General features: G+C 42.9%; 2 long non-coding RNA genes and 1 pseudogene across 3 annotated transcripts in view, besides 4 other annotated features; 1 reads left to right on the top strand and 2 right to left on the bottom strand.

The window, feature by feature from the left end:
* Window positions 1-6,237, bottom strand: part of LOC124900336 (uncharacterized) — a 33,342-nt gene extending 27,105 nt beyond the window's left edge. Inside the window, exon 1 of the long non-coding RNA XR_007063748.1 lies at window positions 1,233-6,237. This is a non-coding gene — a long non-coding RNA (uncharacterized LOC124900336). The remainder of the gene's footprint in view (window positions 1-1,232) is intronic.
* EEF1DP3 (eukaryotic translation elongation factor 1 delta pseudogene 3) overlaps window positions 1-6,659 on the bottom strand; it is a 112,802-nt pseudogene extending 106,143 nt beyond the window's left edge. The window contains exon 1 of the transcript NR_027062.1: window positions 6,503-6,659. The product of NR_027062.1 is annotated as a eukaryotic translation elongation factor 1 delta pseudogene 3 (transcript). The remainder of the gene's footprint in view (window positions 1-6,502) is intronic.
* On the top strand, window positions 4,706-14,619 carry LOC124903150 (uncharacterized). The gene is made up of 3 exons (XR_007063747.1): window positions 4,706-4,786; window positions 13,138-13,418; window positions 14,230-14,619. It is a non-coding gene; the product is annotated as an uncharacterized LOC124903150 (long non-coding RNA).
* Window positions 5,621-6,120: an enhancer, noted in NCBI's record as "H3K4me1 hESC enhancer chr13:32421459-32421958 (GRCh37/hg19 assembly coordinates)". NCBI's record gives its function as "activates a minimal SCP1, AML or CMV promoter by ChIP-STARR-seq in primed H9 embryonic stem cells {active_cell/tissue: H9 hESC(primed)}" and the evidence as "EXISTENCE:reporter gene assay evidence [ECO:0000049][PMID:30033119]".
* Window positions 6,121-6,622: an enhancer, noted in NCBI's record as "H3K4me1 hESC enhancer chr13:32420957-32421458 (GRCh37/hg19 assembly coordinates)". NCBI's record gives its function as "activates a minimal SCP1, AML or CMV promoter by ChIP-STARR-seq in primed H9 embryonic stem cells {active_cell/tissue: H9 hESC(primed)}" and the evidence as "EXISTENCE:reporter gene assay evidence [ECO:0000049][PMID:30033119]".
* Window positions 6,121-6,990: a biological region, named in NCBI's record as "H3K4me1 hESC enhancer GRCh37_chr13:32420957-32421458".
* Window positions 6,471-6,990: a silencer, noted in NCBI's record as "silent region_5243". NCBI's record gives its function as "represses an Ori minimal core promoter by ATAC-STARR-seq in GM12878 lymphoblastoid cells {active_cell/tissue: GM12878}" and the evidence as "EXISTENCE:reporter gene assay evidence [ECO:0000049][PMID:35858748]".
* Window positions 14,620-15,096: the final 477 nt, after the last annotated feature.

The following is a 15,096-nucleotide window of genomic DNA, read 5'->3' as shown; positions in this document are numbered from 1 at the left end:
TATTTTTGTTGGTATTCCAAATCCACAGTGGATAAGGAATTACCCTAGACATATAATCATCTTGTACATTTTAAGACCTTATAGCTAAAAATGTATTTGCTTAAGAGTTCACTAATGTTTTGTTGTGTGTGTGTGTGTGTGTGTGTGTGTGTGTGTTTTTGTTTTTTTTTTTTTTTTTTTTTTGAGATGGAGTCTCACTCTGTCGTCCAGACTGGAGTGCAGCGGTGCGGTAGGCTCACTGCAAGCTCCACCTGCAGGGTTCACACCATTCTCCTGCCTCAGCCTCCCCAGTAAGTTTTTTTCTTTTTTTTTTTTTGAGATGGAGTCTGGCTCTGTCGCCCAGGCTGGAGTGCAGTGGCGCAATCTTGGCTCACTGCAAGCTCTGCCTCCCGGGTTTATGCCATTCTCCTGCCTCAGCCTCCCGAGTGGCTGGGACTACAGGCGCCCACCACCACGTCCTGCTAATTTTTTTGTATTTTTAGTAGAGACGGGGTTTCACCGTGTTAACGAGGATGGTCTTGATCTCCTGACCTCGTGATCTACCCGCCTCAGCCTCCCAAAGTGCTGGGATTACAGGTGTGAGCCACCGTGCCCGGCCAGAGTTCCCTAATGTTTTAAAAGAGTCAAGTGTTTTGCCTTTTTTGTCCTGAGTGGGGTTCATCCTTCATCTGGGGATCCTTTATGTAGTGTAGGTTTCTCACTTTTTTCTTTTTCTCAAGATAAACACTGCACACCTGACTACAATATCTCAAGAACTGAGTGTTAGCATGGTTGGACCATCTGGCACCACAACTCAGATTTAATTAATGTTTACTGAATACCATGTGTCAGAGCCCGAACTAGGCACTACTGCACATTTGGCTGAATACCCCATGTGTACATAGGCTTAATTCATTAGTTGACCATTTTCCAAAAATCCCCATACATCCACCATGAATTTTATTCTCTATATTCTGATGTTTTGACCTCTTGGGACCTTGCTGGCCTGGACGGACTGCCCCTCCCAGGGTTAGCCAATGCCTGCAGACGTAAGGGACTCACCTGCAAGCGCCTCTCCATATGCAAACCAACAAAGAGCCCACACCCCACCAGCTCCCTTATCAGACTCATACTCTGGAGCACTATTCTCCTTCCCTAATCACCCCAGGGCCACGTAGCAGACAACTAGAGACAGCCCTGTACCGCAGAGCCTGCTAAAATGATGCAAACTAACCAATTCTGAACCTGCTTACCCTGCTTTGCTCATTCCTTCCCATGGAAACCACCGTAAGGCTCTTGCCCACATTTCTTCTTGTTCCCCCTGCCTCCTGCCTGATCCTGCTGCTTCCCTGTGTGCCCCCTGCATGGCATGCCATGCTGTACCTCCGGTTTCTAGGGGACTCTTGAGTATAATAAACTTCCTTTATGACAGTCATTTCTGTGTCTGCATGTTTTACCATACCTGGTTAAAACAAATCCTGGGTACTATTAAAACACCCCACATAATTATAGAATTGGCAGCTAAGATTATTTGGGTTTTCTTTCATCCCACCCTCTACGCTCAGTAAACAAGTTTTAAACTTTTTGTCGTTTACATTACATTACCTTGTCTGGCCCACGTTAACAATACTTAATAAAAGCACTTGTAAGCTCCTTTACTGAATAACCAAAAAGATTTAATTAACCATTATTTTCTACTATATGAAAGAGCAAGCTCTAGCTATCTACCATGTCGCTTCACAGCACCCACCACCATGCCACACTGCTTCACCGTACTTGGGGACAGGCAGTAATGACACTCTGCCCACATCATCTTCCCCTAAGCTAGCAGGCTGGAACCCACTAGCGACCTCAGTTCGTAAGATACGTGTTCAGAGGTCCCACATTTCACTGGATTGGAAGCTGGGTGCGTCTTTGCAGGTCTAGCTCTTACACTGAGTGTGGGGTTATTTGGGCTATGCTAATTGGCTTTAGATCCTGGGACTGCTTCAGAGAGGGTGCTAAGCTAGTTTCTGTGCCATTCCTTCTGCTGGCATCTTCATCTAGCATCCTGTCCTTGGTCTAAAAGTGCGCTCTGCCTGAGCAGGCGGCAGCAGTGAGGAAGCAGAGGCACTGGCAGATGGAGATCTGTGTTGCCCAGCAAGGTTTCTTTCTCTTTTCCTTCATAACATGTCAAAATGTAAAGACGGCCATTTTGGGGGTTAAAAAATGGACTCTAGGGCAATGTACCTAAGTAGATATATATATTCTTGGGGATGTATTTCCAAGCAAGGTCACAAGCACTGAGTTTCTGCTTCAGAAAGGCCTACAGACACTTCTCTGTTAATTCTGGTAGATGTTAAATGTACAATAGGACAAGTATGTAAAATTGGACTAAGTATAGAGTTCAAGAAATTGATTTTAGACCATACAACAGAACCAAGATGTAAGTTGTTACGTAATCCTTCAGTGATCAAGATGAATAAAAGATATAATGGAATTTCTTCTATCCTAAACTAGCTTTGTAATGGCATATTTGGAATAGGACCCTGTAAATTAAATCAAGGACTGCTTCGCCTTTTTCAGGTTTGGCATTCCTGTCAGTGTCATAATTTTAAGAATATGTATTCTAACCAACAGGAGGGTAGCGAGCTTCTCAATGTGTCTCCACGGCTTCCATGGAGGATATTTACTCACTAATTCTACTAACTATTTTATTGAGCAGGTTTACTATGTAAAACAGACTGTCCTAAGCAATTGGTATATAGTAGAGAACAAAAGATAGAAAAAGTCCTTGCCCTCCTGCAGCTTGAAGTCTAACACCATGAATGACTGTATGGATGAATGAATACATAAAAAATGTAATCAGGTTAGGGATCATGAAACTAAGTGAACACAGATTACCATATTTCATTGATAAGATTACTTTTTCACATTTTAACATCCCTGAAATCAAGATATGTCTTAACATTTATGGTATATTAAAATAACTGACAACTTGGCAGTACTCACAGCACAACTGTCATGTCCCTGCACGTGCATAAACTTGGTCACAGCTATTCATTTTGTTTTCACTTCTACTGAGTTATGGGCATTGTTGGCACTGCACGTGTTCTGTTTAATTGCCACTGAAATGGTTTTCAAAAAGATTACACTATCATTTGGCACTGCAAGGAGACATTACTGTGTATGCATGAAGGCACCAAAACAGCAGTGTGACATAAACGTTCTATTACTAGAGGAAACATTTGTCTTTGTTTGGCATTTCCATATCATTTTACAAAGCAAGATCCAAATGCTTTACCAGACTGAATAAAGAAACACAAAAGTTAAAGAAGCTATGTTACAGTTTGTTACTGAGATTCATGCAAGTGAACCGTCACACCCCAAGCAATGCTACCAATAACACTGACAGGAAAATGTACCGAAACCCAAGGAAGAGATGACGGAAACTTGAAAGCAACGAGACTAGTGTGACCTATTCATGCCTTATCATGGAAGAATATCCTTAAAGTGGAGTGTCATAATAAAATTGGCAATATTTTCTCTTTGTGTACAGCAGAAAAAATAATGCTATGTCTTACAACTGATGGCATTTTTAATTTGATGAAATATAGAAATAAAGATGGATTGCTAGTTAATAAGAAGTTTTAGAAAGAGAACAGCATACAGAGTGGAAGTTTGTTGATTCTGGACAGTTTTAAGTTAATAAGATATTGCAAATGCACAACTTTAGAAAAACTACAATTTCAATAATTTGGCATAGTTTTGCAGATCACTAGCCACTTAAAAAAGTCTATTCACTCTTATTTCTAACAATGTTTTGGGAACACCTTCTATTCTGACGTAAGAGTGTGATAAGAAAGCCTCATGTTCTTTCCCAACTTTAGTTGGTGCTACTTTGATTTTTGGCAGTTTAGAGATATTAGAAGTGAGGTGCTGGATCTGTATTCGAAACTCAAACCTTACTACTGCTACCAAGAATGGAGTGAAATACTTAGACAGGAGGGTCCATTTGAAATCTCAAAGCATGCATATGGGACTTTGAGATTCTTAGCACGAGAGTAACATGAGTAAAATGCCAACTATAAGGATACGTTTCCAGGCAGCATATGGTCACAGCTCAAAAATGAACTTTTTTTAAAGCTTACTACTGCAAATTATTTTAGAAGCAGAGACAGTTAAAAATCATACCAAGGAAGAGAACACACACACGTACACACACACACAACTCTAGGGAAGAGAAATTATAAAACAATGGATGTAGATTATAATAATTTTTTAGGCACAGCTTCAAAACTGTCACAATTGTGACATCAGTTTTTGATACCATTCAGCCAAGCAACAACTACTTTAACATAGAAGTGAGTATCAAATTAGGAATAGGCGTGTGGCTACATCCATCACCAAGACAACAGGTGTAGTTTTATATGGTGAACACGTATTTCAATAGTGTTGAAAATAGACTGCACCTTATACGTGGTATTTCCCACTATGCAGAAGGCCTGCTTTCTGTTCCTAGGGCCCTGCATGGAGAATTCAGGGATTCCCTGGAACTAATACTATTTTCCCCAGCGACTTCATTTCAGTCTTTCCTTTTAGGTAGCCTGGCCCGGGTCAGAAATTCTCTGACAGTTGGTACAAGAGAACGAGTGTGCCAGTGTGAACGCTGCAGGGGATGTGTTGTTGCCAACTGATGGAGTGTACTTCCATATGCAGAGCTAAAATAGACTTGGATGGTTGAGAAGATAGAGACTGCTCTTTAAGTGCCAGTACGGGAAACACTTGGTTACCTGTCTTCTGGGGCCGACTTATCTGAAAGAATGAGGTGGGTTTACATGTTTGGATATTTCCATCTGATTTATAGGCTGGGGATGGGATGGGGAGAGTCTGGAGACCGCCAGTGTTGCCTTTCAGTATACATGTACACAGTGGGGGTTCCCAGTGGGAGAAAACACTCTGTAAAGGGGTCTGATGCACCAGGCCAGTAGAGATAGCATATGTTGCCACTGCATTACAATAAGGGCAACTCTCAAGAAGAACTGGGAGACAGTATAGAGCATGGGCAGGGAGTCAAACAGATCCAGGTTCAAATCCTGCCTCTATCACTTACTTGCCCAATAATCTTGGCAAAATTACCTGAACTCTTTAAATTCAAAAACAGGGAAACTAATAATAATACCTCCTTAGAGTGATTGCAAGAATTAAAGTATTAATATACGTCCACACCTAGTAATGTGTCTGGTGAATAAAATGTGCTCAATGTATGGACACTACTGTGTCACCACTAGGGAAATTCCCTTAAATGTAAATGTTTTTACAGATACGTTTTTTAGCATGGGGTAAATTATATGGACCACAAAATGGCCTTGGCTAAGGCGTTTTGAGGGAATTATGAAGTTGTCTTATGGTAGGAATACATCTTGATAAGAAAGGAAAAATGTAAATGTGAGCATCCACGTGTGATCAGTGAGAATGATGCAGAATTTAACATGCATTTTTTTAGATTTGCTTAATGGCAAGACTATGCGATATCTACCTCTACCTGTCACTACCTCTACCCTGAGCCGCTTTATGATAGATGTGTTCCTACAAACTTGTGTAAAACTCAGTTTTAACTCTAAGCATCACTTCTCTGCACTGGAGGAAGTTTTGTAAAGCAAATAACCCCCACCTAATCTATCTTGCTTTGAAGGCTGAAACCTTCTCCTATCTTCGAGTGGACAGGCATGTGTTCTGTATTTTTTTGCACTGGGCTATCACCCTGAGAGGTGAGCCATAACTTCTACCCACTTTGGTATGCTCCACAGCACCCTTTCCAAAACTGCAAAAGCCAACTGAAAGTATGGGCAATAAGAAAATATTAAAGAATCGACAGAGTAATTATTGGCACCTTGAACACACTAGTGTTTGGGGATGTTTAATTAGATGGCAAGGTAGATTTAATTTTTGAAGCTCTTAGATCATAGATCTTGGTCGAGTCCATTCTACGGGAAGATAACAAGGGGGCATTGACTACCTGCTGCACTGTTTTCAAGCAAAACCCACACTGGGCGGGCTCTGGGTGCCATCTCCACAAAGCCCCCTCCCCAAGGGGGATTCTTCCACAGGGGAATTTTCTCAAGGAAGGTCCCGTGTCAGGAATGCTGCTCAGGTACGGGTTCCCACGTGCCCACACGCAGGGCACGGGCTCACACGGCAGGGCGGGCTGCCTCTTTAAAGGCGCGGACCTCAGGGACCCCCGAATTTGGCTCCTCAAGTCTAGGCATCAAACTTTCTCCTGGAACAAAACCTCTTTCAACCCACATGGAGGCAGGAGGAGGACGGAGCCCTGGGATGCCATCAGCGGCGGCCCGGAGACAGCGCTCCCACCCCCGCCCGCTTCCCTCGGTCCCCACCCTCTTCCTCCGAGGGAAGGCGGCCCAGACCGCACAGCCCCGCCCGGCCCCACCCACCCACTCCCCGGCAGCGAGCCCACAGCCTCACAAAGCTACCTCCCGGGCGCTGCGGTTCCCCGGGGCGAGGGGCAAGCGGGGCTGGGTACCTGAGGAAGAGGCCAGGACACCGGCGCCCAACGAGACCCACAGCATCGCCCCGGCGCCGCCGCCGTAGTTGCCACCGCCGGAGGCTACTTCGCTGCGCCGAGCGCTGGAGCCCCGGGAACCTGGTGCCGCCACCGCCTGCGCTCCCTGCGCTGCGCTGCGCTCGCTGCGCCCGGGCTCTGCTGCCCGGCGACCGCCACGGTCAAGCGGAGCCCCGCCCCGTGCGCGCCGGGCGAGCTGCGGACCCTCCAAGGACGCGCCGCCACCCCGATTGGCTGCGGGAGTCACTGGCCCCGCCCCTGCTCGCCGCGCTCCTCCCACGCCGGGGGCGCGCGCTGCTGGCGGCCCAGAGACTGGCGGCTTCTCCAGGGGCGTCGCGGGAGGGTGCGGTCCGCGCTGGGCGAGGCTTCCTGCGGGCACCGGCGCGCTCGGCCTCCGCTCCTGGGCGCTGCAGTTCTCCCTCTCCTTGCCAGCCCAGAGATAAATAGACGGCCAGAAAGAAAAGAAAAAGAGAAAACATCTCTAGAGCTCTGCGCGGGGAGGGCAGTGGCCGCGGCAGCTGTGGTGTGAAATCTTATTTGTATAAATTCGTTTCTCACGGAAGCCCAGGAAAGGCTGTCTAGGGTGAAGCACTGGAATTGTCACCAAGGCTTTTTTGTTTTTGCTTGTTTTTTAACCTGAAGGTGTCCTTACACACCTCTAGACTTCTTTATCTTATGAAGAAACTAAATCCAGTTAAACAACTTGTCCAAGGTCATAGAGCTGGTTACAGATTGATTCTGTATTTCAATGCTAAATCAAAGCTGCCTCAGCGTTTATTTCTTTTCTGTCCAGAGAAGAGTTGCATTCTCATATGTAATGCTATGTATACTGTATAGCAAACAATCAATTAAAAATATAGAGATAGAAAGTAGATTAGTGGTTGTTGGGGTGGGAGGGCTGGGGAGTGATTGCTAATGGATGGGACTCTCTTAGGGTGATGAGAATGTTCTGCAATTTGATAGTGGGAATGGATGCACAGCTCTGAATATTCTAAAAACCACTGAATTGTACATTTTAAAGGGCTGAACTTTATGGAATGTGAACAGTATCTCAATAATTCTGATGTTTAAAAATGTATTGGCCGGGCACGGGGCTCACGCCTGTAATCCCAGCACTTTGGGAGGCAGAGGCAAGTGGATCACGAGGTCAGGAGTTCGAGACCAGCCTGGCCAACATGCTGAAACCCCGTCTCTACTAAAAATACAAAAATTAGCCGGGCATGGTGGTGCGTGCCTGTAATTCCAGCTAGTCGTGTGGCTGAGGCAGGAGAATTGCTTGAACCCAGAAGGCGATGGTTGCAGTGAGCCGAGATTGTGCCACTGCACTCCAGCCTGGGTGACAGAGCAAGACTCCATCGTGACAATAAAATAAAATATAACTGTATTAACACTTGAGCCCGGGTGGCTGAGGCTGCAGTGAGCTATGATGGTGCCACTGCACTGCAGCCTGGGTGACAGAGAGAGACACTGTTTCAAAAAAAAAAGTATCCAGAGTGATGGTGCTGTGGGGAAATCCACATAAACACATATTTGGAGTATGTCACAATTCTTTCTTTGTGGGCAGAAATTCTGACTTATGTACTAGCATCCATCCATTCATTCAACAATCCACATCCATGTTTATCAAATTACTCTGACATGGGTACAAAGATAAATAATGCATGATCTCTGTCATCAAGGAGTTCCCAGTCTATTGAGGGGACAGTTTATAATATAATAAGGTGTCACTCTAGGGAGGTAAACGAAGTGCAGGTTTAAGGTGCTAAGACAATCATAAAGGGGCTGAAGGATGTGTAATGTTTCAGCAGTGGCCAAAGTGGCTGAGTGTGAGAGGTGTGACAGGAAGTGAAGCTGGACAGTTACAGGACAGAGTAGAACTGTGGACTAGAGCTCAGTTAAAGAGGCACAGGCTAATTAGGAAGTAAATTTTCTATTCCTTCTGGGTCATTTCTATCCCTGGTGTAGTGTGTGATTTTGGTTAATGGTCTCAGTCATCATCATATAAGCAAACAATGGTAACACCAACTGACTTTTGTTTCTACCTTTGTGGTATGTATAAACGGTTTTTGTGCATTGCCTCCTTTGAAGCTCAGAGAGGTGAAGGGGTTGTGCTCAAGGCTGTATGTCTTCTAAGAGACGGAGGTTGGATGAAACTCCATCTACTGACCTTGGATCCTATATTCTCAATATTGTCAACCTTTTGAGTTGTAAAGCTTCCTTATAAGTGCAAAGAACTCTTGAGCTAAAAAAGCTCTCTAAGCAGTAGCAAGTGAAACCTGTTTTTTCACTTGGAGTCTTTCTGTGTTTTGATTGGGAGCTAGAAACATTACAAGCCCTAGGGAAAAAAACTTAGCTACAAGTCTTAGCTCTTCAATTGAGTCTGTTCAACAAAGCCCTGGATTCCAGGTTTCATAAAAAGTGACTCTACAATGTAAAAACAGGAGGCTACCTACTTCTATTGTCAGTATACAAATGTCAGCATACTGAGGGCACCTTCCTTTACATCCATTCATCCTTCCATCCCTCATGGGATTATAAACACCTTTTGAACACAGGTACAGGTGAGCATTCCTAATCAAAAAATCCAAAATCTGAGATGCTCCAAAATCTGAATGTTTTTGAGCACTGACCTGATGGCATAAGTGAAGATTCCATTCCTGACCCTATGTGATGGGTCACAGTCAAGACACAGGTATACAACACACAGTTTACTTAGTGTCCCCAAGGGAAAGAAGACCCCTGCATCAGCTGTGATATTTTTTTTCATGCACATGCAGATTTCCCTATGCAGGCACACCCACATAGGATAATAAAATGGCACATGTGCAGGCTGGACTCTCCAATGGCAGGTTCCCCACGATGCCCCACATTGGGTCAAGTGCATTGCTCACTGTGTTTTTTTGTTTGTTTGTTTGCTTATTTTCTGCTCCATGGTATAAAAATATTATTTAAAATGTCAAAAGGGCCTGGAGATACCCCATGGGTAACAATGATAAGAAATAGAGGAAGCATTTATGTTAATCTATAGCACAGAAATATTAGTTGTTGGAGAAACTGGACAGGGTGTGTGAAACATCTTACAGAAGAGAATGGGGTAGGAATGACCATCATATATGACCTGAAGAATCAGAAGGATACACTGTTGAGGTTCTATGCTGCAAGTGATGAATAGAAGTTAATGAAACATGGGAAAACATTGCATAAAGCTAAAAATGCAGATTTTGATCATGTATTGAAAGAGTGGATGTGTCAGCTTCGCAGTGAACACATGCCACTTAATGGTATACTGATCATGAAACAAGAAAAGAACTATTCATGATGAACTGAAAACTGAAGGGAACTGTGATATTCAACGGTCTGAAGAAATTTAAGAAAAAACACAGCATTAAATTGTTAAAGATTTTAGTTGTAATAAAGCATCTGCTGATCATGAGGCAGCAGATAAAATTTTTTTTTTTTTTTTTTTGAGACGGAGTCTAGCTCTTGTCACCCAGGCTGGAGTGCAATGGCGAGATCTCGGCTCAGTGAAACCTCTGCCTCCCAGGTTCAAGCAATTCTCCCCAGCAGAGAAATTCATTGATGAGTTTGCCAAGGTCATGGCTGATTAAAATCTGACGTCAGAACAAGTCTGTAATGCTGATGAAACATCACTGCTTTAGTATTATTGCCCCAGAAAGACAGTGACTGCAGCTAATGAGACAGCCCCTACAGGAATTAAGGATGCCAAGGACGGAATAACTGCAGGGATGTGCTAATGCAGCCAGCACGCATAAGGGTAAACTTGCTGTGATAGGCAAAAGCCTGCATCCTTGGCTGTTTTCAAGAAATGAATTTCTTACTAGTCCATTATTATGCTAACAAAAAGGCATGGATCGCCAGGGACGTCTTTTCTGACTAGTATCACAAACATTTTGTACCAGTGGTTGGCTAGTGCTCACTGCAGAAAAGCTGGACTCAATGACTACTGCAAGATATTGTTATTCCTTGACCACTGTCCTGCTCATTCTCCTGCTGAAATTCTCATAAAAAATATCATTTATGACATATACTTTCCCCAAAAATGTGACTTCATTAATTCAGCTATGTAACCAAATATCAAATGAAGAGTAATTATAAGAACACTTTCTTGGAAAGCATACTAGCAGCACTGAACAGAGGCATGAGAGTAGAAGGTTTTTAAAAGGAGTTTGGCATGAAGGATGCTGTATATGCTGTTTCCAAGGCTTGGAACACAGTGACTAAAGACACAGGGCCAGGCACGGTGGCTCACGCCTCTAGATGACATGGTGAAAATGTGTGATGGGCTTATTTGTTGAAGGACTAGAGCAGGGTGCACTCATAACAAAGCAAGAAATCATGCCAGTTATAAAATCAAAGAGAGACTTCTGGACAAAAACCAATGCTAATGAGGCAGATGACTCCAGAGGAAACATTTTAAAAAGCCACCTAGCAGAGGCCAGGCGCAGTGGCTCAAGCCTGTAATCCTAGTACTTTGGGAGGGCAAGGTGGGCAGATCACGAGGTCAAGAGATCAATACCATCCTGGCCAACAAGGTGAAACCACATCTCTACTGAAAATGCAAAAATTAGCTGGGCATGGTGGCGGGCACCTGTAATCCCAGCTACTCTGGAGGCTGAGGCAGGAGAATTGCTTGAACCCAGGAGGTGGAAGTTGCAGTGAGCCGAGATCGCGCCGCTGTACTCTAGCCTAGGCGACAGAGAAAGACTCCGTCTCAAAAAAAAAAAAAAAAAAAGCCACCCAGCCAAATATCTCCTTATCCCTAGAAGACCTACTTCCTTGTGCCTCAACTACTTCTGATGTTTCTTCTCATTTAAAAAAGTAAAATATAATGTTTGGTAACCTTTAAATCAAAATACAGCACCATACGTGGAGACTGAAAGCCTACTGTTCATCTGTTGTTGCTTTTTTTTTTTCTTTTCTTTTTTGTTTGAGACAGCGTCTTGCTCTGTCACCAGGCTGGAGTGCAGTGGCACAATCTTGACTCACTGCAGCCAACCTCTGCCTTCCAGGTTCAAGCTATTCTCCTGCCTCAGCCTTCTGAATAGCTGGGATTACAGGAGCATGCCACCATGCCCAGCTAATGTTTGTATTTTTAGTAGAGATGGGGTTTCACCAAGTTGGCCAGGCGAGTCTCAAACTCCTGATCTCAAGTGGTCCACCTGCCTCGGCCTCCCAAAGTGCTGGGATTACAGGCACAAGCCACCACACCAGGTCTGTTGCTGCTGGTTTAACAGCTGATACAGGTATTCTGATGATGCTCCTGTGCTGCTTAGTTACACTGAACACATTTTTTCTAACTGTAATAATGGTAAATCTTTTTTTTTCTGTTAAGTACTTATGTGTGAATAAGTGTAAGAAAATGATTGCTTATCAGTAGCATATAAATTAAAAGTCAGGAATGATGGTGATCCCAAACAACCACAGACTGTCCATGGTGGCTGAGATAGTGACAGCTTTACTTTCTGATGGTTCAATGTACACAAACTTTGTTTTATGCACACAATTCCTAAAAATATTGTACAAAATTGGCTGGATGCAGTGGTTCATGCCAGTAATCCCGGCACTTTGGGAGGCTGAGGCGGGTGGATCACTTGAGGCCAGGAGTTCGAGACCAGCCTGGCCAACATGGTGAAACCTCGCCTCTACTAAAATTACAAAAATTAGCCGGATATGGTGGCACGCACCTGTAGTCTCAGCTACTCAGGAGGCTGAGGCACGAGAGTCGCTTGAACCCAGGAGGTGGAGATTGCAGTGAGTCGAGACTGTGCCACTGCACTCCAGCCTGGGCGACAGAGCAAGAGTCAATCTCAAAAAAAAAAAAAAATTGTACAAAATTACTTTCAGGCTGTGTGTATAGGTCTAATATGAAACATAAACAAATTTTGTGTTTATATTTGGGTCCCATCCCCAAGATATCTCATGTATACGCAAATATTCTGAAATCTGAAGAAATCCAAAATCCTAAACACGTTTTGTCCCAAGCATTTCAGATAAGGGGTACTCAACCTGTACCGTGTTTTGGTCATTTCCTTGCTTCCCCTCCCCTTACTTGCATTCTCATCCCTATCCTTACCCCTCTCCCTACCCTCTTTCCACTCTCAGTAGGCCCTCAATGAATGTTTGTTAAATGTCCAATGTCATGTTAGCATCAGAAAGGGAATCATTTTTTTTTAAATTCTAATTGCCTATGGTGATGACATACATTATGAAATTTGGATATTAATTGGCCCATATAGCATATGTGCTCTAGGGCTTTGGGACATAGTTATAAGAACATTAGAGAATTATATTAACACTTCCCACACTTTAATAAGCTGTGTATTGAATTCTAAATCTAAATGCCTGGAATTTAAAAGTTAATCTCATTCTAGGAAAGCAAAATATTAATATTTTAACAGTAAAGACACTAAATACTTGGAAGCAGAAGAAATTTAATATTCATTATAGAATTTTTAATCCCTGAGGAGGTAATTTACTATTGATTTTAAAGGTCTTTGAAATCTTTTGTAAATCTTCCTTGTTTCTTTTTCTTTTTCAATATCTTCTCTTAGGCTCATTTTTTTTCTCTTTCACAGGTTTCTGATAGCTAACACCTCAGCATTACAATTCTGTTTTCCATAAACTTCTGTGCAGAAATCTGGGGAATTCAAAAGAACTGGGGAGTGCTGATCTCCCTGGAGTCTGAAGCCTGGAGAAACCATCCAGAAGGCTGAAGCTATTCATCTCAAAGGAGCAGATGTTGTCCCTCCCCAAGGAGTTATTATGGGTTGGAAGAAATGAGAAAATGAATATAAACAAGTTATTCTGTGAATGTTATCAAATATGATCAGCACCAACCAAATAGAGCTCTAAATGAGTAAGTATTCTTTACTGATAGAAGCAAAAGCAAATGAACATTATACTTTTCTAAATACATTCAGAAGCAAATAATTTGAGCAAAAGCACAGACCTAATTGGGTCATATATGATAGCATGGGAAAACCGTCCTGGAGAAGTAGAAAGTGTGTTGCTAGGTCAGCTTAGCTGGTTGTCATCCATCAACTCTACCCCCTAGCCATGGCTTTGCAGACTTCTCTAGAAGGCTTTCTCCTTTCCCAGGTGGCTAGGCAGAGTCACAGAGACAGTGATCTAATGTCCCTTAGGATGCTTATGGGACCTGTTTCTATGGGTGCAAAGCCAATCAAGGATAGGACTGGAGAGGAACCAAAATGCTTTCCTGCTGAGCTGTCTGCTAGATCCTGGTATTTTCAATCAGCTAGCATGGGGTTTCTTGCTGTTTTAGGACAATCGATTTACCTTATGGCTAAATTTCAGGAAAGGAACCATTCCAGCAGATAGCGACCACAGAAGTGGTAGCCTGATGAAAAAGAATAATTTTGGGTGTTGTATAAATGTAAAAACCATGAAGTTTTTTAAAAATAAAAAAAATTCACTTGCATACACTCTCTTTGAAAAGTTAGTGGGCAGCTATTTGCTAGCTGAAACAGAAACACTTGATTATGTTGTGGATGAGTAGGGAAAACGTCGTGCTGGAGGTGGATTTGGAGCTGACAATAAAGGATGAATGAGGATCAATAGTCTGAGAATGAAAGGGGAAGACAGACATTCCCTGTTGAATAAAGGGCACCATGAAAGTCACAGGGTGTAACAATGTATATATGTTTCAGGAAAAAGCAAATGGACTCAATGTGGTTGAAATGTGGAGAGGATTTTGAGAGATGAAGCTTGAAATATAGTTGACCCTTGAACAAGGTGGGTTTGAACTGCAGGTGTCCACATATGCACAGATTTTTTTCAACCAAACATGTTGAAAAATACAGAATTCATGGGATGCTAAGCCCACATATACTGAGGGCTGACTTTCCCTATCTACCTTCCACAGAGTATGCACAGGTATACATGGGAGTCCTGGAATCAATCCCCTGCATGTACTGAAGGATGACTGTGTATGTTTCTTTTAACCTAAACTTCCTGTACTAACTCTGCCTTTGTATATTTCCAGATTCCTCCTGCCCCAGAAAACTAGATATGTACTTAAGAGAGAAAAGAAATAAGCTTGAAATATTTTAGCAGTTACCATAGAGAATAAGAAAAAAAATTCATATTATATGCAAGGAAAGTCAAGCATGATATATAATTATTCAGAATCAACCACTAAAAAGGCTCTTCAGTAAAATAAAGAATAGTTATCCCGAAGGCAGTGATTGATTGTTTTGACACTTAATTGGGAGGACAGCCAAAAATTTAGGCTAGGATTATAGCCCTTTCCTTTCTTTTGGAAGATTTCATAGTGATTATTCAGAGAAGTTGATGTTCACAATTCTAGTTAGCTTGAGTGATGGTAAAATAAAATAAAACAAAACCCTATGGATGCATGTGTGTAAAGAAGATTGACATAAAAATCATGATCCATTGTTTAATAAATGACTTGAAGCCTTTTCTTGATGTAGCTAAACTCTCAAAAATGAATTTTGGCCAGGTGCGGTAGCTCACGCCCGTAATCTCAGCACTTTGGGAGGCCCAAGTAGGTGGAT

This window comes from Homo sapiens, chromosome 13 (genome assembly GCF_000001405.40).
Source record: "Homo sapiens chromosome 13, GRCh38.p14 Primary Assembly".
Lineage (NCBI taxonomy): Eukaryota > Metazoa > Chordata > Mammalia > Primates > Hominidae > Homo > Homo sapiens.
The sequence above is the reverse complement of the archived record's forward strand: the minus strand, read 5'-3'. Positions and strand labels throughout refer to the sequence as shown.